The 27,524-nt window shown below is 42.2% G+C and overlaps 1 protein-coding gene across 2 annotated transcripts in view; it reads right to left on the bottom strand.

Moving 5' to 3' along the window:
* Nucleotides 1–27,524, bottom strand: part of HTT (huntingtin) — a 169,280-nt gene that overhangs the window by 108,741 nt on the left and 33,015 nt on the right. For both annotated transcript variants that reach the window (NM_002111.8, NM_001388492.1), the window contains 13 exon segments: nucleotides 680–819; nucleotides 2,309–2,406; nucleotides 2,500–2,658; nucleotides 3,445–3,582; nucleotides 3,823–3,934; nucleotides 4,797–4,915; nucleotides 5,173–5,296; nucleotides 7,616–7,956; nucleotides 9,591–9,671; nucleotides 12,284–12,331; nucleotides 13,788–13,992; nucleotides 18,957–19,135; nucleotides 19,775–19,916. In NM_002111.8, coding sequence (NP_002102.4) covers nucleotides 680–819; nucleotides 2,309–2,406; nucleotides 2,500–2,658; nucleotides 3,445–3,582; nucleotides 3,823–3,934; nucleotides 4,797–4,915; nucleotides 5,173–5,296; nucleotides 7,616–7,956; nucleotides 9,591–9,671; nucleotides 12,284–12,331; nucleotides 13,788–13,992; nucleotides 18,957–19,135; nucleotides 19,775–19,916 — 1,886 coding nt within the window.

The following is a 27,524-nucleotide window of genomic DNA, read 5'->3' as shown; positions in this document are numbered from 1 at the left end:
GCTGTCTTACCTAGGTTCAGTATAATGAAGAGTATATTCTTTTTAAACAAGCAGAATTAATATAAGCTACATTTTTTTAAAAGTTTAAGACAAAGATGAAAAATTCTAAGCTCTTTTATTCCCACTATCCAGAATACTTAAATGACGAGGACTACCAAAAAAAAAAATCTACTCTTCTACTTATATTTTAAAATTCTAGGCCAGGCACAGTGGCTCATGCCTGTAATCCCAGCACTTTGGGAGGCCAAGATGGAGGATCAATCAAGCCCAGGAGTTTGAGACCAGCCTGGGCAACATAGCAAGACCCCATTTCTACAAAAAATATTAGCCAGTGTGACGGCACACACCTATTCTCCTAGCTAATCGGGAGGCTGAGGCAGGAGGACCACTTGAGTCCTAGAGTTCAAAGCTTCAGTGAGCTATGATTGTGCTACTGCATTCAAGCCTGGGCGACAGAGCAAGATCTTGTCTCTAAATAAATAATAAAATAAAATAAAATTCCAAGCATAGGGCAAAGTTCAGCAAAAAGCCACTGGGAGGAGAAAATCACTGTCATCTACCTAAACCACTCGGATTTCTGATGGACAGGGTACTTGATAACATCATTCCTTGCATCAAGTGATCCCAGAACTTTCAATTGAGCTTAGTTCATGAAATCTAATGGATGTGACTCACTTACCTGAAGTCAATCTCTGCAAGGGTTTCCAGAAGCTCTGTCCTCACCAGCCAATAGGAACTGTTCCTCAGAGTCAGCACATCGATGATCAGCTGCAGTCCTAACTCACTGTAGCTGCTGCTGCAGAGACTCATGACACAGTTCTGGAACACAAGGTCCAAGGCAAGAGGACAGCAGGTTAGTCCCACTCAGTACCCGCGTCTTGACGGTTTGAGAACCGTCACTCTTCAACACACAATGTTCTGGGTTTAACTGCAACCAGGATGTTGCATTTTTCCCACACCTCTCAAGAACATTGATTAAGAATACTTTATCTCAGTAAATACAAGCTTAAAAGTAAATGTGTCCCTTTCACATAACTGGTTCTTTCTTCCTTCCATTTCTGCTTATGTCATGGTTTCAACTCTCAAACAGCAACTTCACAAACATTGATCAGTTACAGAGGGGCCTGCCGCACAGCCCCAACACCACTTCTAAATAAATCTCAGACCCAGGGGTAGGAACAAGGGACCTACACCAAGGACCACCCCACTATGTCACTATGTACTCCACAGCACGAGAGAACAGAACAGGCCCCTACTGCTGTACCCCTCCCCTGCAGCCCCAAGCACCCAGGGGCACCATCACATGCATGGCTGACACAAAGACCCCCAGCTAGCCACAAGATTGAGCTCTTAGCATGCTTCCTTCTGCTCAAAAAAGACACAACTGACTGAAAACCTGGAAACTAGAGAGAAATTACTGTCAGGCATGACATTTTAAAAGGGGGAGTTATCCCACAAATTTGACAATTGTAGGTTTTTTGCTTTGATTTTTACCAGTTAATTTTTACTCTTGTTGACTGGCCAGTTGTGACTTATGAGCCAGTTGGTATGGAAAGGTTCAACATGCTATCACTTAAAGAATTGAGCCTATTCCACTTTATACAGAAACAGAGGTTGAGTAAATAATCCCTAAGGCTCACTTTAACTCTTACCATACTATGGGCCTAGCACAGTGGTTTTTTTTTTTTTTTTTTTAATTCAACTGATTATTATTACTATTATTTTTGAGACAGTCTCACTCTGTTGCCCAGGCTAGAGGGCAGTGGTGTAACCACGCCTTACTGCAGCCTTGATCTCTGGGGCTCAAGCAATCCCCCCTCCACCTCAGCTTCCCGAGTAGCTGAGACTACAGGTATGCACCACCATACCCAGCTACTTTTTTTTTTTTTTTTTTTAATTTTCTGTAGGGACAGGGTCAACTATGTTGCCCATAGTCTTGAACTCCTGGGCTCAAGCAATCCTTCCACCTTGGCCTCCCAAAGTGGTCAGATTACAGGTGTGAGTCACCGTGCCCAGCATATTCAACAGACTTTACACTTAATGATAGGTTATTTCTAAATATATCCTTTAGGAAGAGGTCTATTTCAAACAAATATTCTGAGAATTAGAACTTAAACTGAAGTTTATGAAGCATTAACTTTACTGGCAACGTTTTCTTTCTAAAGCTGAGAGATGGATACATGGTGGGTATTACTGGTTACAGCTTTAGAGTGCATGGAAATATTTCCTATTAAGCTCCAATTTTAATTGTAGCAATGATAAAATGTCCACTAAGTGAAGAAATGGTTCCACAGAAGATTATGCTCACCCTCACAGCTGTACAAGCTAACTTGCAAGTAACAGAAGACTCATCCTTCAGTGTTTTCCGCAGCAAAGGAATGCAATCCGCCAAAGAAAATGTATTTCCTAACCAGAAGAACAAGCAACAAACATCATCATCTAAACTTAAACCTTAGTAAGCATAACTAGAAAAAACACAGCTGAAAAACTGGCCGTTACCTGTGAGGGTTCTAATGGTGCCCATCCAATCTCCCACGTGGAAGCGGGACCTGCTGAGGATGGAGCAGATGAGGGTCCCACAGAGAATGGCAGTGGCTCCTCGAACCTGTGGGTCTCCATGATCGATGTAGTTCAAGATGTCTGAGACATACTGTTCCTCTGTGGAGATAAATTGCTCAGCCATGGAACAATTCCCTACTATCAACTTTCTAACTCGAAACAAAAGCTTAATTCTCAGGAAAGAGAAAAAGAGGTGTGAAGAGAAGATCCAAATTCAGAAATGACTTCACTATAATAACCCTAAGTGATTAAAAAAAAAAAAGTTTCAGGATTTAAGAATTAGAGATTCATCATATTGCCAATATGTCCTCAATACCACAGACTTTCTGGATTATAATTCTAGGTTGTCAGATAATAAATCTGATTAAAATTCCAGATTCCACTTAAAAAAGATTAGAAAAAACCCTATTACACACTTACCTCATATAAATTCAAAAACACAAGTGTACCCTCTCACCCAAAGAAAAAGAGAGAACGAGAAGGCTCCATAGTAAGCATGGGCGCGATGGAGACTTGGGTCCACTGCTGCCTCAGCCAGTCCTGGTTCCCACTCACCCTGAGTGTGAATGCCTGGCCTGGCTGAGTGCGACTCAGCGCCACTGCGACCAGGCACAATTTGTGCTTTAGGTTTAAATCCGATGTGTATATATGTTGGCTCTTACGTGCTGAGGTTTCTACTTTTCTCCTCTATGGGTTTCATCTAAAGGGAACCCATGAAACAAAGAACTTCACTATTCATGTGTTTTCTGAAGAGCTACAACGCAGGTCAAATATCCCAAATGAACTCAAAACACTTACTGCTCTAAAACTAAAATAGTCAATACTGAAATAGTTTTTACAATAATGATTAAATCTGAGAAAATAAGATGTGAACTTTTAACATACCAGGGTATTCCGTGGTGTCAAGAGGAACTTTATAGAGTTTGCTGAAGAAAGATTCCGGGTGGAGGGCCACAGCTGCTCCCACACAGCTGAGGGCCAGGGCCTTCACGCTGACCCTCACATCCCTGTCCGGAACCAGCACTGCCAAGAAATCACCCAAGCCACCTTCAGCCTCAAACAACAGATTGTTTTCAAATGAACAAAACCAGACCCAATAACCTACCTGCTCCCATCATTTCCTCCCTCCCCTCGGCTAGTGAAAACCAAACTCATCCTCAGATTCTACTTCCTCTGCTGCACGCAAGGCAAAAACAGGCCACCAAGCTGACCTCTGAAACCTAGTTATTTCCTTCAACTGTGCACATCCCCTTTTGTACTCACCATTTTTTCCCCCTGTTAGCAAAAACGAAGCAGATAAAAGGCGGACACAATGGACAAGAGGTGCAGAGTCATCATCAGTGGACTGTCCAATGTCACCTTTGATGCGGCAAGGCTAGAAAGGAGACAATGACACTTGTTTGTCTCATACTCAACAATACATTCATGCATTAGTTCATTCAACAGATAGTTCCAGAGCAGCACTTAAGCCAGGTGCTGGGGATAAAGAGATGCCCTGGTTTGTGCCCATATGCACACCTGACCTCACAGAGACCATGGCCAAGCAGAAACAGACAAGTCAGAGGCAGCAGGACACAGGGTCACAGGGCTGTGGCAGGGGATAAATGCAGCATGCAGGGAGGGTGGGCGTGGTAAGAAGGCAGTTGACACTAGGCATTCAGGAACGGCTGCTGCAGAAGCAAAGCATGAAAGGTCTTCTACAGGACAAGCAGAAGCTACTTGGGGAAAGGCAACAGCCTGGGGAAGCCCAAATCTAAGAGGAAGTGGGCCTGGTAGATAGGGAGATGCCAAAGGCTATAATTCTGATTGATGGGACGAACTGTGAAACGCTATTCCTTGTCCTTGAGGAATTAAAAGTGAAGACAGTTACATTTACATGTAAAAAGATAATATGAAGAGAGACTTTTAGAACAGTTCAGTAGAACCAAAACAAGAAACGTTGCAGGCCATACGCAACCATCAAATGAATGATCCAAGAAATCAGACAAGGAAACATTCAGTACAGAATAGATTTGTCTGGGGCACACTCTCAAAGGAGGCAGAACTCAGGCAATTCTCAAGGCTGTGGGTAGTACCTGGAAAGGCAGAAAACAACAGGCCTGGGAAGAGCTGGTATTTAAAGGGGAAATTTAAAGGCCCAGGGATGGGAAAGCAATAAAGTAGACAGTAGCCAGGGCGATTTTAAATCCTCACACAAGCTCAGAAACACCAAGTCGTCTCAAGCCTATGTCCCTCACCTTGTTTTCTTGATCACCCGGTTCAGTAGCTTCATCTCTCAACACAAATTTATCAACACTGCTGTCAGAAGGCTGCCTGCAGTGACTCATGTTTTTCAATAAATGTGCCTGTTGAAGGGCTTTAAAAACAGAGAAATCAAGATTAAGTGACAAATTTCCACTTAAAATACAATTATACATTTATGCTAAGATAACTCAAAAGTATAAGATTTAGATCAAGAAAAAGTATGATTATTCCTCAATTGGTCATTTTCATCAGCTATTCAGAACTCAGAAAACAGTATCAAAGGACTTCTTCTTGGAAGCAAAGATATAATTAAGATGTCCAGGTCTGAATACAAACCACTTTGTAGCGCATCACCTGTAGTCCACATACCCATGGAAGAGTTCCTGAAGGCCTCCGAGGCTTCATCAGGAAGAATACCTGTGGCTTCCTCATCTTCATCCTGGGGCTGTCCAATCTGCAGGCCCAAATACTGGTTGTCGGTACCGTCTAACACCTAAACGGTTCAAGGGGGGCTGTGAGAATTTTGAAGTGTGATCACCAAGAGACAAGCCCTCCAACATGGAAGTGCAATGAGGAAAGAGCACATTTTACACACAGAACACAAATGTACTCATCTGTCATTTATTTCAAGGCACAGAAATGCACGCATGGAAACTGCTAAGAGCTTACTGATCACTCATTCCCACTACATTATGAAAAGCTCTATTAGCTCTAAAAACTCCAAAAAAATTCCAATGTGGACATTTCTTTTTAATATGAAAAAGAAAAAACCCATACAAAAATATTTGTCTTCACAAACAAATTTTACAGCAAGTTGGAAATATGAGGACAAAGCTTTTCGACAAAAACCTAACAATATAACAGGTTATCTCCTAAATTGCAAAGACTAAATCTACTAAATTTAGGGTATGGTATTTCATATGTTTAGCCATCAGCTTGGGGCATGATTCCACATCACAAGATGTTTCATGTCCACTTGAAATGTCCTGTGTAATTTACCTAAAAAAACTGAACAATGGACTACCAGCAAATTATTACCAAAATACTATTTTATTAAGTTTGTTAACTACTATACTATTAAGTAAAACACTCAATGATATGAATGTTTTAAATTAAAATTGGAATGTAAAAGCAACTCCATTTCTGGGTATTTAGCCAAAAAAATGGAAAGCAGAGTCTCCAGGAGCTATCTGTACACCCACGTTCATAACAGCATGATTCACAATGGCTAAAACATGAAGCAATACAAGTGTCCATGGACAGAGGAATGGAAAAGCAAAATGTGGCCTATCCATACAATGGAATAGTATTTGGCCTGAAACATTAGGAAGTTCTAACATAGGCTACAACATGCATGAGCTTTGGGGACATTATGCTAAGTAAAACAAATACTGTGTGACTCCTAAAGTATATGAGAACCCAAAGTAGTCAAATTCAGAAGACAGAAAGAAGAATCGTGGTTGCCAGGGACTTGGCGGGAAAGGAGGAATAGAGTTCAATGGGAACAGAGCTTCAGTGTTACATGATCAAAAGGTTACAGAGATGGGTGGTAGCAATGATTCCATGACATTATTTAAATGTATTTAATACCAGCGAACTGTATACGCAAAAAATGGTTAAGAACATAAATTTTATGTTACACATATTTAACCACAGTTTTTAAAACTGAAAATAAAATGGAGTATAAAACTCAACATGGACTTGTAGCAAACATTATTAGACTATCCATGAGGGTTTTTTGTCCACTAACTTAGAGATGAGAAGTGCTTAAACCTATGCCGCTATCAAATGGGAAATGTTGTAAAAGTTTTTTGAAAAGTCAAAAGTTCTTAAAATAATGCACAGTATTAATCACATTTCATTAAGACCACAGATCTGTTTATAATAGGCTCCTTAAGGATTTTTAAAAATAATTATTTAACCAGGGCCCAACAAGGCCTTAAAAAATGTAAAATGCACTCAATTTTAGCAGAGTTCATATAATCAACTATTCCAATTTTTTACCTCAGTGTTCAACACAAAAGACACTAAGTTGTTTCCTTCAGTGAAGGTATCAGATGAGGTCAAGCTCTCCATTAATGATCTAAGCTGCGCTGTCAATAGGGGTATTAGATAACAAGAGAACAAGCAGGAGGGTTCAGGTCTAGGTCTCCAGGGAAGAACTCAAAAGATGGCAGGTGGCAGGGCCGGGCATGGTGGCTCACAACTATAATCCCAATACTTTAGGAGGCCAAGGTGGGTGGATCATCTAAGGTCAGGAGTTTGAGACCAGCCTGGCCAACATGGTGAAACCCTGTCTCTACTGAAAATACAAACATTAGCTGAGTGTGGTGGTGCCCACCTGTAATCCCACCTACTCAGGAGGCTGAGGCGGGAGAATCGCTCGAGCCTGGGAGGCAGAAGTTGCAGTGGGCTGAGAACGAGCCACTGCACTTTATTTTTTTATTTTTTTTGAAATGGAGTCTTGCTCTGTTGCCCGGGCTGGAGTGCAGTGTCACGATCTCGGCTCATTGCAACCTCTGCCTCCCAGGCTCAAGCAATTCTCCTGCCTCAGCCTCCCTAACAGCTGGGACTACAGACATGTGCCACCACGCCCAACTAATTTTTGTATTTTTAGTAGAGACAGGGTTTCACCATGTTGGCCAGGCTGGTCTCGAACTCCTGACCTCAAGTGATCCGCCTGCCTCAGTCTCCCAAAGTGCTGGGATTACAGGCATGAGCCCCTGTGCCCGGCCTCCACTGCACTATGGAGTGAGACTCTGTCTCAAATAAAAAATAAAAAAAAAGATGTCAGGCCCCTCTGCCCACTTACAATTTCAGAACTGTCTGAAGGGGTAACAGCTGAATCAGGCCCTTCGGTGGTGGTCTGGGAGCTGTCGCTGATGGGCGACGAGGCCTGGGTCCCATCATTCAGGTCCATGGCAGGGTCAGATGGGACGGCGCTGACCTGGCTGGAGCTGTGGCTCAAGATATCCTCCTCATCCCCATCAGTGGCAGAGCTTGTCAAGTCACAGCTGGCCAGATCCACTGAGTCCGCCTGCAGTGTGTGCTGTGACCGTGGCTGTTCTGTGATGATGTCATGACCTGCTGACCCTGGAGTGGAAACCCCTGAAGAAGCAGCCAGCTCTCCACTGATCTCATCCTTCACTGAGGCTGAAGACAGAGAAACACTCATTTGTCAAATGGCGAGAGAAAACATTCAATAGGGAATCACAGGCTTGCAAAATAACGAACAGTTCCACCGTTATCAAATGTTTCAGCTGCACAGCATCCTGAAGATGCTGAAATGCAGGACAGCAGTGCATCCTTCAAGCATCTCTCACACTGCCTCCCACTACAGTACCCACCTTATAAAATAAGGCTTATCAGAAGGTGATATTCTCAAATGCTGTTTCACTGCAAAAACCGAAGTTCAAGTTCTTAACCGACTACTCCAAGCCTTAGCTGGAGCAATATATAAAGACATTTGTAATTAAGGGGCAGCCTAGTCAGGGGCGCAAAGCTAGGCGGTCACAGACACGCAGGCCCTCTAAGCAAGCAGTGGTCAGAAACAACTGTCAACTCATCTCTCTGGGGTGGGCTTGCCTTCTTCCAAGCCACATTCAAGATCTCGACTCCAGTCCTATTCTCCTGGAAGATAAACCTGTAACACATTTTCCTAGTTGACTTTCTAAATTACCATTTAAAAACAAAAAAGGCTATATAAAAATTATGGCAAAAAGGTCGACATGAAGCTGTTGGCAGTGGTCACTCCTGGGGCAGTTGGGTCGGTAAGCATGTGAGCTTTATAGTATCCGGATTGCTGTGATGTTTTATTGTTGTTTAATTTGTGTAATCAAAAAAAAATCTATTTTTATTTTGTAAATAAATAATTACTACTAGAATTATTCAGATTTTCCTCTCTAAATATTTAAGTCTTACTTTCAGTTATAGCTAAAATATTCTTTTAGATAGGATTATACAACCAAAACCACCCTCATATAATCCAGTTATTAGTACCTTCAGTTAATCCTCATCTTTTATAAAGTACACAGAGAATTTCATTAGATAAGTATCTGTAACTGGCCGGGCACAGTGGCTCACTCCTGTAATCCCGGCACTGTGGGAGGCTGAGGCAGGCAGATCACTTGAGGTCAGGAGTTCAAGACCAGCCTGACCAACATGGCAAAAACCCGTCTCCACAAAAAAATACAAAAATTAGCCAAGCGTGGTGGCGGGCACCTGTAGTCCCAGCTACTTGGGAGGCTGAGGCAGGAGAATCGCTGGAACCCAGAAGGCGGAGGCTGCAGTGCACCAAGAGCACACCACTGCACTCCAGTGACACTGGGTATCTGCACTGGGTGACAGTGTGAGACTCTATCTCAAAAAAGAAAAAAGATAACTATCTGTAAACAAAGGCAGATTCTTTCAAGTTAAACTATCCATAGGCAATTTTTCATCCCATAATTTTTCATCCCATTTCCCAACCCCCAGCATAACCCATCCAACTCATGAGATGTTTCGACCTGCCATCCCCTACTCACAAAGCCCTATGCTCAAGCCATAAACCTAATTTTAAAACAGCCTAAACCATGGAAAACAACAAATATATGATGCAAACACCACAGACACACAAGCTTCAGAGTAAGTATTATAAAAGAAGCCCGAATATGCCCCATTTAAGCAACCTGGCTCCACTGCTGCCCCCAGTCGTGCTGTCCACCAGGTGCAGGGGGACGAGCAGGAAGGGCAAGGGGTGGAAGGCAGACAGTGAAGGTCCACACCAGCGGCTAACTAGTGAGAACTACCTGTTAAGGCAGAGCTGCTGACATCCGATCTCGATTCAGAGTCATCCTCCAAGGCTTCTTCTTCTCCTAAGAGCACTTTGCCTAGTAAATAATGTACCAACATTCCTTTTAGTTTGCTAAAAATAAGGACTTCAAAATTAAGTAAATGCACTCTAAAATGAAACTCATAAGAATATTTAATTTACTCTAATATAGTTTATCATCATATATAAGTATTTTTATACCTCCACAGTATTAAACACAAAGAATGTAGAGATGTTATGTTTAGAATGCTATTAAAGTCAATAAACCTATATGGAAAAAGTTAAAAGCAATGATTCTCAAACTATACCACAAAACATTTTAATAATTAATATTTATTGATTTTGATTATTAAATAATCTATATTACTACTTAAACTTAAAAATGGTAAGTTATAACTGTAAAGATCCAATGCTATTGGCCTTTGAAATATTCATGTCATAGCTCCAATGACACACCAGAATTTATAATAAAACTCTAATACCTAAAAGTCACTTTCATTTTATTATCTTTTAATTTTCTAGACTTTATGATTAACAATCAGAACTTAAGCATTATATGATCTGGAAGGATGAAATAATATTTCATTTGAAAGTTCTAAAAATACATTTTATTGTTCATCTTCAGAATTACATTAATGAGAACAAATGAAACCAACAGTCTTAATATGATTTAAAACTGAACTCATTAAATCTTTGTGGCTACATCACATGTGAGTGTCATTAAATGACACTATCAAAATAATTATTGGGAATTTCTAATTTCTGCTCTTCAAAGAAAAAGTCAGAAGTATGATAACTTCCATAAACTTACAATGATGTGAGATTAAGAGTGAAAAAATGAGCAAAGGAAACCCAAAATCTACATGGAATTAACACAGCAACTTGGCCTATCTACTAAATAATAGGAAACTTTATTACAAAATAAGTTCTTTACCTTGAGAAATCAAATAAAATGCCAAAAAGGTGAATTCAGATCTTAACAAAAGCCATCTCTATCTTCCAAATCAGTGGTTTGCAAATATGTTCCACAGAGCCGTCCCCAGGGTAATTTCCTCAAAGGCACAAGAGCTAGGCTGCCACCAGAAGAGAGGCTCCAGGACACCCCCACTACTTTCACCCTAATCCTATATCCAACACAACTCTACCTTCATCTGTCTTATAATTTGGGCAGATTTCACTTAAAAAGGATTTTCCAGCTATAACAGAAGAGTTTGAAGACACAGCTCTCAATGGGGGAAAAATACCAAAAAGGCTTAAAAGAGACAGGATATATCCCATGTCCCAGCCAGAAGAGGATAAACTCATCTGAGCAATGTGAATCAGTCATCTTCGTTCTCACCGCCACTGGAAAAAGCGACTAAGAAACAAACAAGTGTCAGCGTAACTTAGTCACACGTCCCAAAATCTCTCCTAATTCAAGAATATAGACATTAATTTTTCCTAGAATCCTTTTGGCTTCTAAACAATGTTTCACTAAAATCTCAAACTTGATTAAGTATCTCATACTATGATGACGCAAATATTATAGATTCCAAGTTCTCTTAAGAAATGTTTACTTAATTCAATGAAGGCTAGAATGCTATTCCTGTTAAGATCCCATTTAATACTGCAAATAATATTAGGCATTAGGCTCTCAATTAAATACTCAAATCATGACACAAAAAAGGATCAGTCTTTTAAGATTTCAAAATAGAAAGTGACAGCAATTCTTTTCCTATGCAAACCCACACTGGAAAAGAAAATAACTGGCATTGCAAAAGATAATGTGTACCAAAACTAGCAGATTATATCACAAACACTTTAATAAAAGTTAAGTTTTATCAGAACATTCTGATATGTACAAAGTTAAATATGGCTGAAAAATGATAACCAGGTCCAAATTAAAATAACCCAACAAAGGAAACTTTTTTTTTTTAAGACACAAGGTCTCATTCTGTTGCCTAGGCTGGAGTGCAGTGGCATGACTACAGCTCACTGTGACCTCAAACTCCTGGGCTCAAACAATCCTCTTGCCTCAGCCCCCTGAGCAGCAGCTGAGGCTACAGGCACATGCCACATGCGTGGCTGTTTTTTTGTTTTGTTTTGTTTTGGTAGAGACCGGGTCTCACTATGTTGACCAGGCTGGAAAAGAAGCTACTTAATAATATTCCTGACTAATACTAAATAAAATTTACTGAGAAGGTAACTCACAAAATATAACAACACATTCCCTAAGGCAGGTATTGGCAAACTACAGCCTGTCTGTTTCTGTAAGTAAAGTTCTACTGGAACATAGCTGGCCAGTAGCTCATGTCTTTACAACTGCATTCCTGTCACAGGGCAGAGCTGAATGTTGCAAAAGAGACCATATGGCCCATAAAGCTAAGATGTTTACACTCTGTCCCTTTACAAAAAAAGTCTGCTGACCCCGAACATTAGAAATTTATGATGCGTTCAAAATTTATGACAAAGCAATTCTGATATGAAAGTAATTTTTAAAAGCCACCCTACAAAACTATTCAGGCCTGGTTATCAGATTCCAGCAACATTCACACATATAATCACTCATCTGAGAAGAGATATACACAGAGTCCAATACAGTATTACAAGAAATACAAGATACATTACATTACAGAAATACAAGAAAATCAGTAAGATTCAACACAAGACTCTGATTTCTGAAATAATCACCTTTTTGTTTTCTTGAAAGGACAGGGCTGCATGAGGAACCCCCTCCAGCTGCAAATCACAGAAAGTGACAGATAAAGTAACAAGCTGATAAAATCTAGAAGAAATGTGAAAATCTTCAAACAGCTTGATTCAACTTTAAAACTAGAGAAAATGTGAACGTTTTTCCACAGGAAACACTTAACATCGCAGTTCAACATTTTAATTTCAATATGAAAATTACATTAACATTCAAATATATAGTTCTAAAGATATGACCTAAGAAATCAAAAAAGCTAAGATAAATTGCATTGTAAAAGCCAAATTAAAAGTATTAGAAATCTCAGATTATTTAGCTGACTAACAGTCAAGTATAACTTTTCATTAGCGATGGGTATTTCCACTCATTATTTGTAAGGCACGCATTCCATACAGAAAAAAATTCTTCCGTGTAAAGGACAGGAAACAAGGCAGATTAACATTTCCTGCTCATGGTTCTGGCAAACATTTATGTTCACACGAGGCAGCAGTAAGACTTCAGTCAGATTCTCTCTAATGTGGAGGCTGTGAGTAAGGCCACGCTGCACACACACTGTGCACTACACCGACCACGTTGCAGTGGCTTAGGAGAGGCCGGAGTCAGCAGAAGTTTATCCATAGCCTGCTAGGCACCAGACCCAGTGGTAGAGGCTGGGATCCAGCTCCCAAAGGCAGCTCTCATGCCAGACAGGACCCACCAAGCTCACTGCTCCAGGGCAGCACTGCATGGTGGGGTAGGGCCCAGCCCCAAGAGCATGGAGAGGAGGTGACTGGGCAGTGGAGGCAGACGCAGAGCTGGGGACAGACGGATTTTCTCAAGTCAGGCCAGGAAGGAACTCTCAGATCCCTCTGACGACTTGAAGATGCCATTTCTGGCAAATTAACATGAGGATCCTGGAACTATTTTCCCTACTGTTTTCATTTCTCAGCACCTAAAATGCCACAGGAGGCAGCCAAGGCAGAGAAAAGAATCAGGAGGAGGGGCTTTAAATGTGTGGCCTCATTTTGCCACCCAACCTGCTAAACTTTAATTCTCTTATTTTATTTTTAAATTTATTTTGAGACAGCATCTTGCTCTGTCACCAGGCTCAGTGCAGCTGCCATCAAGATTCACTGCAGCCTCAACCTCTTGGGCTTAAGCAATCCTACCACCTCAGCCTCCAAAGCAGCTGGGACTACAGGCATGTGCCACCATGCCCAGCTAATTTTTTTTTTTTTTTTTTTTTTGTAGAGACAGGGTCTCACTTGGCCAGGTTGTCTCAAACTCCTGGGCTGAAGCGATCCTTCCAAAGTGCTGAAATTACAGGCGTGAGCCACCACACCCAGCCCAACTCCCCTATTTATAAAATAAAGATGAAATTTGTATTATAAGTTTTGGCAAGGAAGATGGAATGCAGACTGCTTAGCACAGGGCAGGCCCATAATCAATAGAGTGTAACTAGTATTACTGCAAAGTTAATTGTAAGAGTAGACCTTGCTAATAACTTGCCTATAAGTTCCACAATACTCCCACTACGGCTTCGGCCACCAGACTCCTCCTTAGCAGCGGTGAGCTGCCCAATGCCCCCGACTGCGGTCAGGGTTTGCAGAAGCTCGGGTGGAGGCGTTCTGAAGAGCTGCTGCAACAGCTCCAGGGCTCCGGTCACAACATTGTGGTCTTGGTGCTGTGTATGATGTAACGTCAGTTCATAAACCTAGAAACAGAGAAACACAGGTGTTCTGGTCAGAGTTTATAAAATGCATCCTAAGCTTCACTTTTTTGTTGTTTTTAATAGGACTTCATTGACAAAGTTTATACCTTAACTTCTCCCCCTAAATATTTCCCTATCACTTCCACCAATGTGATCATTAGCTTCCATGTTGTTTTCTAAATTCCCATGATTTTTTGTTATATTAATTCCTTAAAAATAAATGGAGCACTTGCACTAGAGGAGCAGCATGAGAATGAAGATCTCTATTTCCCAAAACTGGTGACTAGGAAAGGGAAAATAAAGCCCAGCATACACGGAGGGGAGAGTCAGCTTGACACACATTTAAAAATCAAAAAACACTATTATGAGTGCCACTGAGAAAGAGCTACCAGACATTTTAAAGGCAGTATGCCATATTTATTAGCACTTTTAATACTATATCACAGTGCTACCCAACCTTTCTGGCACCAGAGACTGGTTTCATGGGAGACAATTTTTCCACAGGGCCAGGGGATGGTTTCAAGACGAGACTGTTCCACCTCAGATCATCAGGCATTAGATTCTCATAAGGAGCGCACAACCTAGACCCCTCACATGTGCAGTTCACAATAGGGTTTGCACTCCTATGGGAATCTAATGCTGCCACTGATCTGACAGGAGGCGGTGCTCAGGTGGGAATGCCAGCTCACCTGCTGCTCACTTCCTGCTGGGCAGCCTGGTTCCTAACAGGCCATGGACCAATACCGCTCTGCAGCCTGGGGGTTGGGGACCCATGGACCAGTACCACTCTGCAGCCTGGGGGTTGGGGACCCCTGCTATATCACATTATATGAACATAATGAATTTATTCTTTTTCCCTTTAATTACAGTTGCCAGATAAAATACAAGGCACTCAAATTTAAACTGTAAACAAACAACAAATAATTTTGTAGTGTAAGTATGTCCCACATGATTTGGAATATACTTACACCATAAAATTACTCATAATGTATCTGAAGTTCAAATTTCACTGGTATTCTGTATTTTTATTTGCTATTTGCCAACCCTATCTTTAATATTATAAAATACATGTTTCTTTTTTTCAAAATCAGACAGTGTAGAAGAGTATAAAGTAAAAAGTCTCACTTTTAGCTCTTCTGATGGTAACTTCTATACCCCTGAATCCCAGGTCAGCAAACCACAGTGCACAGGTCAGGTCTGGCCTGCACCTGCTTTTGTACCTAAAGTTTCACCGGAACAGAGCCACATTTATGGGCTGCCTGTGGCTGCTTTCATGCTACAAAGGTAGTGTTGAGTAGCTGCCACAGACTTGGGATGGCCTGCAAGACTGAAAATATTTACTATCTGGCCCCTTACACAAAACATTTTTGGGTACCTGCTCTACGTAATCAGCTTATACTTTGACTTCTTAAGCCATCCATTTTGAACAAAGAATCTCCTGGCTCCTCTCAATGTAATAAGGAAATCAGCACCCACATTTCCTTCACCTCATCTGCCCCCTCCTAAATTCTGTTAGCAACAGCACTGCTTTCATACTATGGAGATTTCCATTTACATGCTCCTAGGTAACACTATTTACATTTAATGTTCTCTGCCTAGAAGTTGAGCCAAAAAACTTAACTAAAAATAAACAGTATGTATCTTACACATCACGTGTTCATAAATGTTATTCACTGCATAATTTATGAACAATAATGTTCACAAATGTTATTCACTGCAATAATGAAATATTTCTTTCTGAGTCCAGTCACAATAACCTAGACTCAGAAAGAAAGAAAGATTTCAGTACTACTCCATGTCATTTGAAAGAGAATGTCCCAAGGTTAATGGTCAAATGGGTTCTCTTACTCTAATCTATTACTTGCTTAAAATTTATTCTGCACCTTATTTTGCTTCATACTTGGATCACAAATTTCCTTTATAAATCTTGCTGACCCTCCTATGGATGGTTACTAATTGCCTTTTTCTCCCTCCTTGTTGATAATATATGCATATGCCTTCCCTCTGCCCAGCTTCTTAAACATACTATTTATTCAAGAAGAATGGTTTCTAATACGAACTACGCGCCAAACAGCAATCATCCTAGAATTGCTTTTACTGCATGCCTAGGTGAGAGAGTTTGCTTCTTGGATTTCAGGGCTTCCTCTATTTTTCAATTTATTCCTTTTTCGAAAAGCACACATGGAAAGCAAACTAAGTTCCTGCATATCTAAAATTATCAATATTTTGCCCACACTTGCTTAATAGTTTGGCCAGGCCTAGGATTATATTAAATTCTAATTAAATATGGTTAGCCAAACTACATTTGCTGAATTGAACGTCTCATGGTAATTTAATTAAGAACAGTTTTTAGTCAAAAGAAGATGGAGTAAGATATGTTATAGAGATAATCATATCTAGAGTTTAGAATTTGCCAGTTCAAAAATGTGCCACATCATTTATTTACTTTGGAGAAAGGTCTTAAGAAAATCAGCAATTAAGTCTCACATCCATACCCTTTTTTCCCCTTCACCCTCTATCCCTGTCCTTCCAGGATTACTGCAATCCCAATTTAACACAGTTTCGATCTGTTCACAAATGTTAGAAACCTCCGTAACCAGCACTCTTGCTAATCTATGAGAAAGCCTGCAGGCCTTTTCAGGACCCACCCTTGCTCTGTCTACGCACCCACACTCGTGTGCTGTGAGCACTGTCTCACCCTTTCACTCCTGGGACTTAGCAAAGACCACATTTTCTGTCTATAAAGCTCCTGTCTTCTCCCAACTCTGTGCCGGGTCAGATTCCACGTGCCCATAAGTGACGGCTCATGACTGAACTTCTCCAGGCCCCACCATGTGCACCTCAACCTTGCTAAACGGTTTAGTAATTATTTGCTTTTCCCATCAGACCAATGATCTCTAAACTTTTATGATCAAGCAGCCTTCTTAAAAGCATCAGTTAAAAAAAATTGAGCATATAGTTTCAATACTTTTTAAAAGAGTACACTTATCTTAAAATATTATATAAGAAATACTGGACTCAGATATAAAATATACACTAAATCTGACAAGGCTTTTCCTCCAATTATTGATTTACAGGAAATACAGAGAAGAGAAAAAGGTGTTAATTTACACAGTGGAGATGGAAGCAGTATATCAGACCACAGGAAAACTTAGAAGACAAACAATCTGGTTTCTCAATAAATGAACTCTAAGGGAAAAAAACTGGGATGGAGGGGAACCAGTTCATCAAAGAGATTTACAATCCTTATCGACCAATTTTATTTAGATGCTGATTCCAAAAGAGTAGAGAGAAAAATTGATAATGAGTTGGTGGGTATTTGATGTAGGAAATGTTTAATATTTTCAGGTCTAACAATGGCACTGTTTTGTGACGTTGTTTTGCAGTTTTGTTTTTTTGAGACAGAATCTTGCTCCATCACCCAGGATGGAGTGCAGTGGTACAATCATGGATCACTGCAGCCTTGATCTTCCAGGCTCATGTGACCCTCCCATCTCAGCCTCCCAAGTAGCTGGGACTACAGGCATGCATCACCACACTTGGCTGATTTTTTTCTTTAAGACATGGGGTTTCGCCATGTTTCCCGGGCTGGTCTCAAACTCCCAGGTTCAAGTGATCCGCCCAGCTTGGCCTCCCAAAGTTCTGGGATTACAGGCATGAACACTGCATCTGACCATCATTTTAAAAATAAAGTTTTAAAAATAAAGAAGAGTCCTCATCTATAGAGATACTGAAATACTTATAGATGAAATAAGAGGATAATTGGGGTTTGCTTTCAAATAATAAAAAAAGGGAGAAGTAGGATTATAAATGAAATATAACTGGTCATGAGTTGATACTTTTGTATGTGTGGAATTCTCAATAAAAAGCTAGCTTAAAAAAAAAACAAGGCAAGGTAAAGATGAAATAAACTATATTTTAAATGTATTATTACCATGGCTACACCCTTTTTACTCAACAAAACACTCAGCAGTGTTTTTTGTGAAGGAAATATAAATGTCATATCCCATGAGACTCTGCTTTTATTCTGAAAAATAACCAAAGGGCAGCTGGTTGGAACAGAACTCTCAGCCCCAATACTTTCTTAAGAGTCCACTTTTGCTCAGCTGTTTATCAACACGCAGCACTTACATGGCCTTAACATGTGCCAGGAAGCATTCTAAGCATTTTACAAACACTACCTAACTCAGTGCTTAAATTATTAGCATTATCTTCAATTCATGATTCTATTAAGAATCATTTTAAGCCACTTACAATTTCGTATCCTACAAAACTTAGCTAAATGGCACACATTAAGCACAATAAAAACCCTGACATAACATTTTAAGTAAAGTTCAAAAAATCCAATTGCTTAAAATGAGGCTGCATGGTTACATAGTTAGTGAAATAACCTGAGTAAGCGTGCTACAAAGAACTGAAGTCAACTGCCAATCACAGTACATTAGAATTACTGCAAGGTTTCTCTGCATTGGAAAGAGAAGTTCCGACATTTTGTTCCGACACCCCAAACGACCACGTCCCTATCTCCTTGAGTGAGCATATACCACCGTGCCTAGACCAGTGTGCTAGGCCACAGCCTCCACGGGGCAGAAGCTGCAGCTGAAATACTCACCATTGTATACCCAGCCCCTATCCCAGAGCCTAGCACACAGTGGGTGCTCAATCAGTATTTACTGGGTGGATGAACACATATCGTGACCTCTGGTTTTAGAAACAGGGTAGCAGTGGTCTCTGAGAGGCTTAGGTAACACGGCACCTGAGGAGGCATCACCCGCATTTGACTCACGGTGACAGGGACATACAGAGGGAAGACAGCTAGAGGTCAGCACCTAGGGTTGGAAACGAGCAGCGCAGCTCCAGAGTCCACACCTCTAACTCTCGGTTCTGCCGCTTCTCTTCCAAATTAATCGGTTCTTTGAATGTCAGTCATTCACATGCAGGGCCTAGAGTAAACCCTGTGCTCCTACCTGGACAAGCTGCTCTGCAGAAGGAGAGACTTCCATTTCTTTCCTTGTCACTCCGAAGCTGCCTTTCAGGCTTGTGTCCTTGACCTGCTGCTGCAGCAAGGGCACCAAATACCTCAGGGTGAGCAGCACGCCAAGAATCAGCAGAGTGGAGTGTTCATCCTCGACAGGAACGAGTAAGCCTGTGGGGGTGGAAGCAAGACATCTTAACATCTGACTCACTGTTTGGAGATTCCCGGCTTAATCTGTTAAAAAAGAAGAGATCCTGAGAGATCAAGATGGCACAAACATGATCATGAACGAGTACGCCATGAGGCCCACTGGGAATGGCTACACACCCACATCCCTAGCTCAGCAAGGTCCTTTCCAGAGAGCCTCACTGCCTTTGAAAGCCAGGTCGTTATTTCATATCGCACGTCCACATGCTCGCTTCAGCACTTGCCAGTGTTCGTTTCCACAGTTACCCAAACAACAGGAGAAACTGTCAACTGACCTACAGAGAACCCGCAGGAACCCGAGGCACAGTCTCAAGCCTACAAGACTCACCATAGTCATGGCCGACACAGACAGAGGGCCAGGCCCTGGGTGGCAGACAGGGCTCACACCAGCCCACACCCACTGCCCAGTCCCTGGGCACGGCTGCATCTGCAGGGTCACAGAGACCCATGCGGGCTCACAGCAGCCCCAGTGCAGTTCACATTCAATCAACCAGTGCCAAATAGCCTGGTCTAGAAGCTGAGGGATCATCTGGTTTTATTTATTTCAAAGGTCTATCTTGAGTACATGCTGGAGACTCTTCCACTCATATGCCTCCACCTTACCTAAGAGCACATTTAGTAGCCAACTATAGAAATATTGTGTCCTTCTTGAGTGCTGGCAGATGCTCACTGCTGATCCAGCCGCTGTCCGCCGAATGGTGGGGGAGCTTGACTTCAGGTTCGCTATGAAGGCCTTTAACAAAACCTACGGAAGCAAAAGTCCAAGTAGATAAAAGATGAAGCTCCTATGAAGCTTATCATGTATTACATAAAACTTAACGTGAATTAGAAGTTTCCAATTCTTGCAAAGTATAAACAGTTTGAGGCTTTTCCTACAGCTGAACTGAAGTACCCCAAATTTGGGACACTCAAGAGCAGTTTACAGACATGTGTAGTCTATTTGCTTCTTTATAACCTTCACTCAGGGGACTGCTCAGCATCCATGTCCTCTCCGCAATGGTGGAGGCCTCAATTCTAGATACACTCTGCCCACAGTATTTGGGGACAGTTAAAAAAAAATCAACAAATGACAAAGTTAAGGAGAAAAGAGTACTAGCCAACTGCAGTAAATGCCCCACCCTAAGAGATGGCTTGTAGAAGTCCTGCTAATGTCACGAAGTTCTCAGGACTGGAACATCTTCGATCGGAAATATCTGCAATTTAACTGGACATGACCGCATACTACCCACAAACTGTTCTCCTAAGAAATTAGGGAATACTTTCTCATGGGCCTCTAGGACAATCCAAAGGAGAAAGTGCTATAACTCTAATGATGGCCATTTAAATCTTGATAAAAATATCCTAAAATTGAAAAGGGGTGACCCAGCTAGTCGCATTATCTTGGTGACTATGTTACTTAAGAACATCCATTTCCCATTATTCAAAACTATGCTCTGAGCCATGACTTGATTCCAATCATTGTTCAGCATGCACTGAGCAAGCACTATGAGTCGGGGACTCTGTCAGAGCTACGCCTGGGCAAATAAGCAGTAAACTAGTAACTGGCATCTGATTTATAAATAAGTTTCTCTTTCATGGCGTGGTTAGCATAGTCTGTTTCTCAGAGGCTTATCGCCTCCCAGGGAATTTACACGAGACCTCTGTATTGGGAGCAGGCCCCCCAAAATCTGGCCATAAACTGGCCCCAAAACTGGCCATAAACAAAATCTCTGAAGCACTGTAACATGTTCATAATGGCCCTAATGCCCACACTGGAAGGTTGTGGGTTGACAGGAATGAGGGCAAGGAACACCTGGCCCACCCAGGGTGGAAAACCGCTTAAAGGCATTCTTAAGCCACAAACAATAGCATGAGCGATCTGTGCCTTAAGGACATGCTCCTGCTGCGGTTAACTAGCCCAACCTCTTCTTTTAATTCGGCCCATCCCCTCGTTTCCCATAAGGGATACTTTTAGTTAATTTAACATCTATAGAAACAATGCTAATGACTGGTTTGCTATTAATAAATATGTGGGTAAATCTCTGTTCAGGGCTCTCAGCTCTAAAGGCTGTGAGACCCCTGATTTCCCACTTCACACCTCTATATTTCTGTGTGTGTGTCTTTAATTCCTCTAGCGCTGCTGGGTTAGGGTCTCCCCGACTGAGCTGGTCTCGGCACCTCTGGACACTGTTAGGCACAGGATGAGACCCCAGCCACAGGACTCCCTCCCAACCCAGCCACAGGACTTCTCTCCTTGCCAGCCACAGGACTCCCTGACAAGGAGCCACAGGACTACCCCACCCCCCAGCCACAGGACTCCCCCAGTGGCTTACTGCCTCCAATTTCTCCCTGAGAAAACACCTGGAGAACAAAGTAGAATCATCTCTGACAAACTTTTTTAGCTGCAAGAAAAGATACTAACATCTTAAAAAACTACTTTGGCCAAGCTCAGTGGCTCACACCTGTAATCCCAGCACTTTGGGAGGCTGAAGAAGGCAGATCACTTGAGGTCAGGAGTTTGAGACCAACCTGGCCAACATGGTGAAACCCCGTCTCTACTAAAAATACAAACATTAGCCAGGCATGGTGGTACGCACCTGCAGTCTCAGCTACTTGAGAAGCTGAGGCACAAGAATCACTTGAACCTGGGAGGTGGAGGCTGCAGTGAGCCGAGATTGTGCCACTGCACTCCAGCCTAGGCAACAGAGCAAGACTCTGTCTCAAAGAAAAAAAAAAAATCATTGTATGAGTCCAAATAGACAAGCACAATGAGAGCTACTCATTATTATGATGAGTCAGCACACGGTGAGCTTAAATAGTTTGGAATAATAAAGAATAAAATTTAGTCAGAGAGCTCCAAGGGGCCTCCTCAGGTCTAATCTCTACAATCCCAAGAATCCCTTCTCCAAGCCAGCTAACAGGAGGCCCCAAGGCCACGCTACAACTGTTCAAACACAGAGGAGGCATACTGTATTTTAGAATAGATAGTGCCACTTTTCAACACATGCACAACATACCTGTAAGAGTACTTCAAAAGGGAAGAGATGCATGAATCATTAAACTTCAGAGCCAAGGGTACTTTAAGGAATGGAAATTAAAATCATAATGTGATTCCAGAAAACACCCATCAGGAAGGCTAAGAGTAAAAGCATCAGCAATTCCAAGTGCTAGCGAGGACCAGAGCTCCTGGAATCCCCATACACAGTGGCAAAAGGGTGAGCTGGTACAAGCACTCAAGGAAAGCTATTTGGCAGTTTCTACTGCAGCTGAGATGCACACACCCTATCACCCAACAACTCCACCTCTAGCTGTGCAAGATGGAAACCTGCACATGTACTCCAAAAGACACACCTAAGAGTGGTCACAGTAGCACTGCTCGCAATAGCCAAGAACTAGAAACAACCCAGTGATAATACAATGAATAAACTGTGGTATATCCCTACAATGGAATGCTATGAAGCTCCTAAAACTACAGGAATACTAATACACACGATAATATAGAAGACTCTCATGAACTTAATGTCGACCAAAATAAACCAGACAAAAAGAACACTTAATCCATGGTCTATGTACACAGAATTTAAAAACAGACTCTGGAATTAGAAGCCAGCAGTCATGACCTTGGGGAGGAAGGCAGGAGCAGTGACGGGGGAATAGGGGAGAGGCTTCTGAGTGCTTGGTAATATTCTGTCTTGACCTGGGTGGCGGTTACAAGGGTTAAGTTCACTTTGTGGTTATTCACCAAGGGATACACTAATGATTTCTGTCCTGTATGGTATGTACATTTCCTGTCAGGAAAAGGAAAAACAAGGGAGTATCAGTGTTTGGCAGGTAATTTTGAGAATAAGAATAAACCAGAGGGTGGGAGATTTCTAATCCAACACGCTGGATTGAACTTGTGAAGCTCTGCTACCCAGAAACCCCACAAAAATCATGTAAAGAAGTTGTATAAAGCATATATTTACACGAACAGAAAGAACAGAACAGGGACATTAGCAGACTACGGGTGTCAACAAAACTTCGGAAGCTAAAAAGTAACAAGAGCTACATAACTGACTGATTTGTTAGCCCGTAGGAAGAAGTTCAAATGCAAGCTTTGCTGGGGACAGGGGAGGGTAGGAGGGATACCAGCAAAAAGCAAGCTTATTGAAGCCACAGACGCCAAGAAGAGCTCGGGCTTTGGAGGCGCCACATACATCTGAAAGTGGAGGGATGGAGAGGGTGAAATAGTGGCTGGTCTCATGGCTCCTTGGGCAAATTCCCACCCACTCACCTGAGGTCTTCCCTCCAATCCAAGGCAGCCCAGGAAGCAGCCCCTCCCCCACCTCCGGCAAAGATTGAGAGGGATAATCTCAAGAGGTGTTTACATAGGCTGAGGACAGACGTGAGATGCACACAGAAAACAAAAAGTAAGAGGGCACCCTGACCAGCAACACTGTCAGTCCCCTCCCTTCCAGTCCCCGGTTGCAGGATAAACATAGCCAAGCTTATAGCCTCCAAGCAGGAAAATGAGTAATTTCCTTCCAGGGATACTAGCTGACTCAAGAGGAAAAGACTTATAGATACTGGTATTTAAAGATCTAATGATGGGCTCACGCCTGTAATCCCGGCACTTTCGGAGGCCAAGGCAGGCGGATCACCTGAGGTCAGGCGTTCGAGACCAGCCTGGCCAACATGGTGAAACTCTGGCTCTACTAAAAATACAAAAATTAGCCGGGCATGGTGGTGCACACCTGTAATCCCAGCTACTTGAGAGGCTGAGGCAGGAGAACTGCTTGAACCTGGGAGGCAGAGGCTTAAGTGAGCCAAAATCCCACCACCGCACTCTAGCCTGGGCGACAGAGTAGGACTCCATCTCAAAAAAAAAAAAAAAAAAGTAAAGAAAATAGCTGGACGTGGTGGTGCATACCTGTAGTCCCAACTACTTGGGAGGGTGAGGCAGAACAGCTGCTTGAGCCCAGGAATTTGAGGCTGCAGTGAGCTATGATCGCACCACTGCACCACAACCTGGGCAACAGGGCAAGACCCCATCAAGAGACAAAGAAAAGAAAGAAGTTAAAAACATAACAATGAATAGAAGAGTTTGAGATGGATATCTAAAAAGTACCAGAAAAAGAAAAGAAAAAGGTAAGATGTGAGTCAATCTAGGAGGACCAACATCCAACTAACCAATTTCAGGAGAGAACACAGAAAATAAAAGGCAAGAACTTCTCAGAGAAATGTTAAGAAAATTTTCCCAGAACTGAAGGGATGTAAGTTTCCAAATTAAAAGGCCTACTAAGTACCTAGCACTTCACCTCCCCAAAAATGGAAAGCTTCCAAAGAAAAGTACATTCATAGGTTAAGGAATCGGGTCACGTTGGAGATTTTAAGACAACAGGGCAAAGACTTTGCATTTCTGAGGGAAAATGATTTCTACCCCAGAACACCATACCCAGCCAAGTGTACAGGAAAAAAAATGGCATTTTTATGAATGCAAAACCTCATACAATTTCCCTCCCATTCATCTTCTCTCAGGAAGCTACTAGACGATAGAAAAACATATGGCATCTAGGAACTGGGCATCCAACGGGAGAACTGCAAAGGAAATTCCAGGCTAATGGCAAAGAGAAGTCCTAGGATACAAGTGTACTACAGACCTGAAGATCAACCTGCCCAGACTGGGGCAGAGAGCTGGATAACTCAAGTTGGATGACCACACTGGGGAAAAACTGATTCAGTAAACTACCTGTCATGAAAAATTGTACTAAACACATATTACAAAGAAGTTGGAAGGTGTGAGAAGACAAAAAGGCCAAAGAATAATAAGCAAGCGATATAGAGGTAACGATTAACTCCAAGAAAACAGATGTGAAGATTAACTCCAGGAAAACAAAAAGTTGTACAAAGACATATAATCAAGGCACAAGCCAGCAAAGAGCAAGGCAGCAGCAATGGCCTCTGAAAGGAACCAGGGTCTGAGGAAAGCTGAACCTAGAAGTCAGGATCTGGAAGAAGATTGAACACGACATGGTGATGAAAGCCAGCACCAGCCTGCCCAAGAAGCTGGTGCTGCTGAAGGCCCCAATCAAGAAGTGGGCGGCTGTCTCCTCCACCTCCAAGATGCCTTCCTAAGGATGCTGGCCCCAGCACAAGCCAACACTGTAGCCCCCACCTCCATGATTAGACCTTGCAGGTGGCCCCCCCGTCCCCAGCACTGGGTCACCTAGAACTTCGATAGGGGCCTGGCCTATGAGTAGGTGATCAGCAGATCCCCGGGTGCTGAGAACCCAGCTATGGCCATGAAGGTACAGTCACCAACTTCATCTGTCCTCCTCCTCCTCCCCAGGTCCTCTCTCCAGTTTCAACCCAGAGCAAAAAACACAGCTTTCTCATCAAATAAGAAACACAATCAAAGAAATATAATACGTAAGCAACCATGACTATTTACTTAGGCATAATAACGTACACACTGAATTCTGATAGAACTATAGTGAAAGTAAAAAAATGTCTAAAATTGAAAAAAAAAATAGCAGTAGAAGCATGTTATTTAGAAATGTGGAAGTTGCTGGGCGCAGTGGCTCACGCCTGTAATCCCAGCACTTTGGGAGGCTGAGGTGGGAGGATCACCTGAGGTCAGGAGTTCGAGACCAGCCTGACCAACCCGGAGAAACCCCATCTCTACTAAAAGTACAAAATTAGCCGAGCGTGGTGATGCATGCCTGTAATCCCAGCTACTAGGAGGCTGAGGCAGGAGAATCGCTTGAACCCGGGAGACAGAGGTTGTGGTGAGCCAAGATTGCGTCATTGCACTCCAGCCTTGGCAACAAGAGCAAAACTCCATCTCAAAGAAAAAAAAAGAAAGAAAGAAAGAAACATGAAAGTAAATATTGGAAGAAATACTAAGAGTTATGTTTGCCTGTGAGACACAAGGATTAAGAGAAAAAGTAGGAAGGGAACTACTATCTTTGTTTATAATCCTGTTGGTACTACTGAATTTCATTGATAATATATATATATATATTTTTTTTTTTTAAGAAATGGCATCTTGTTTTACCACCCATGCTGGAGTGTGGTGGCACAATCACAGCTCAGTGTAGCCTCGAACTCCAACTCCTGGGCTCAACCGAGCCTCCTGTCTCAGCCTCCTGAGTAGCTAGGACCACAGGCACATGCCATCATGTCCAGCTAATTTTTTTTCAGTTTTTTTAGAGATAGGGTCTCACTATCTTGCCCAGGCTGGTCTCAAACTCCTGGCCTCAAGCAATCCTCCTACCTCAGCCTCCCAAGTAGCTACAATTATAGGCACAAGCCACTGTACCAGGCTCTTGATAATAAATTTGAATAACCATAAATGAGCAGAGAGGTAGCAGAATAGATTTTTTTTAATGCCAAAGGTTCAGGAAGGAAGTAATTAACGGATTCTACGTTCAACAAAGTGTTAGCATCATCATACTCAAATGGTGATCGAAATCATGAAAATGATGAGAACTAAGAGTACAAAAATACCATCTATCATCTGAGCTCTGACAGCCAGAGATATCACAGAGGGGACTGCCTTCAACAGACCCCAGTGTACAGATGGGCAAACTGGCGCTGTGGAGCTCTCACAGCCTCTGACCACAAAGGAGCACCTACTCCCATTCCAAAGAGATGGTAATAAAAATAACAGCAGCAGAAACTACCATTTACTGAGCATGAAGAAATATTACACTAAATTCTTTAGATTCATCATCTCCCTTCGTCATTCCAAAACCCCATGACTAGTTTGAATATCTCCTTAGTATTAACAAGAAAACTTCGAAGCTCAAGAGAAAAAACATGAGAGAGGCTAACAGTTTATTCCAAATCATTCAGCTAATAAGAGCAGTAGCAGCTAACATCTAAGCCCTTCCCGTGGGTGACTATGCTACACTCTAACACATATTCCTTTATTTTACTCTCAGAGTTGCCCTATATGGGTCCCATTAAGGCTTATTTTTCAGAATACGAAGGAAATAGCTTAGAGCTGTTGGGCAGTTTGCCTAGAGGAAAATAACTAGTAAAGAGGACAGAATTCTAATCCAAGTCCATCTGATTCCACTCTACCCAGTGTGTATCATCACCTCCCAGGAGGGTCACTTGGGCTCAAACCCAGGACTGACCTACCAAAAAGGAAGAGGCTAAGAATCCTGTAATCTGTAGAGCATGTGACAGGGTCACTATTTCTGGACATTATAAACAAAACACTAAAGTGGGTTTGAAGATGATTTGTTGGAATGCACAACAGGAAGCCAACAGGCTCTGATAGCTGCAGGACGTTCAGACCCACAAGGCCTCGTCAGTGAGCTTTCTCCTACCTGCAGTCTTGGCACAGTCATCTTCCCGCAGCTAGGTTAAAGAGTCACTCTAGTAC

Source organism: Homo sapiens, chromosome 4, assembly GCF_000001405.40.
Source record: "Homo sapiens chromosome 4, GRCh38.p14 Primary Assembly".
Classification (NCBI taxonomy): Eukaryota; Metazoa; Chordata; class Mammalia; order Primates; family Hominidae; genus Homo; species Homo sapiens.
Note: the sequence above shows the minus strand (reverse complement) of the source record. Positions and strands in the feature narration are given on the sequence as shown.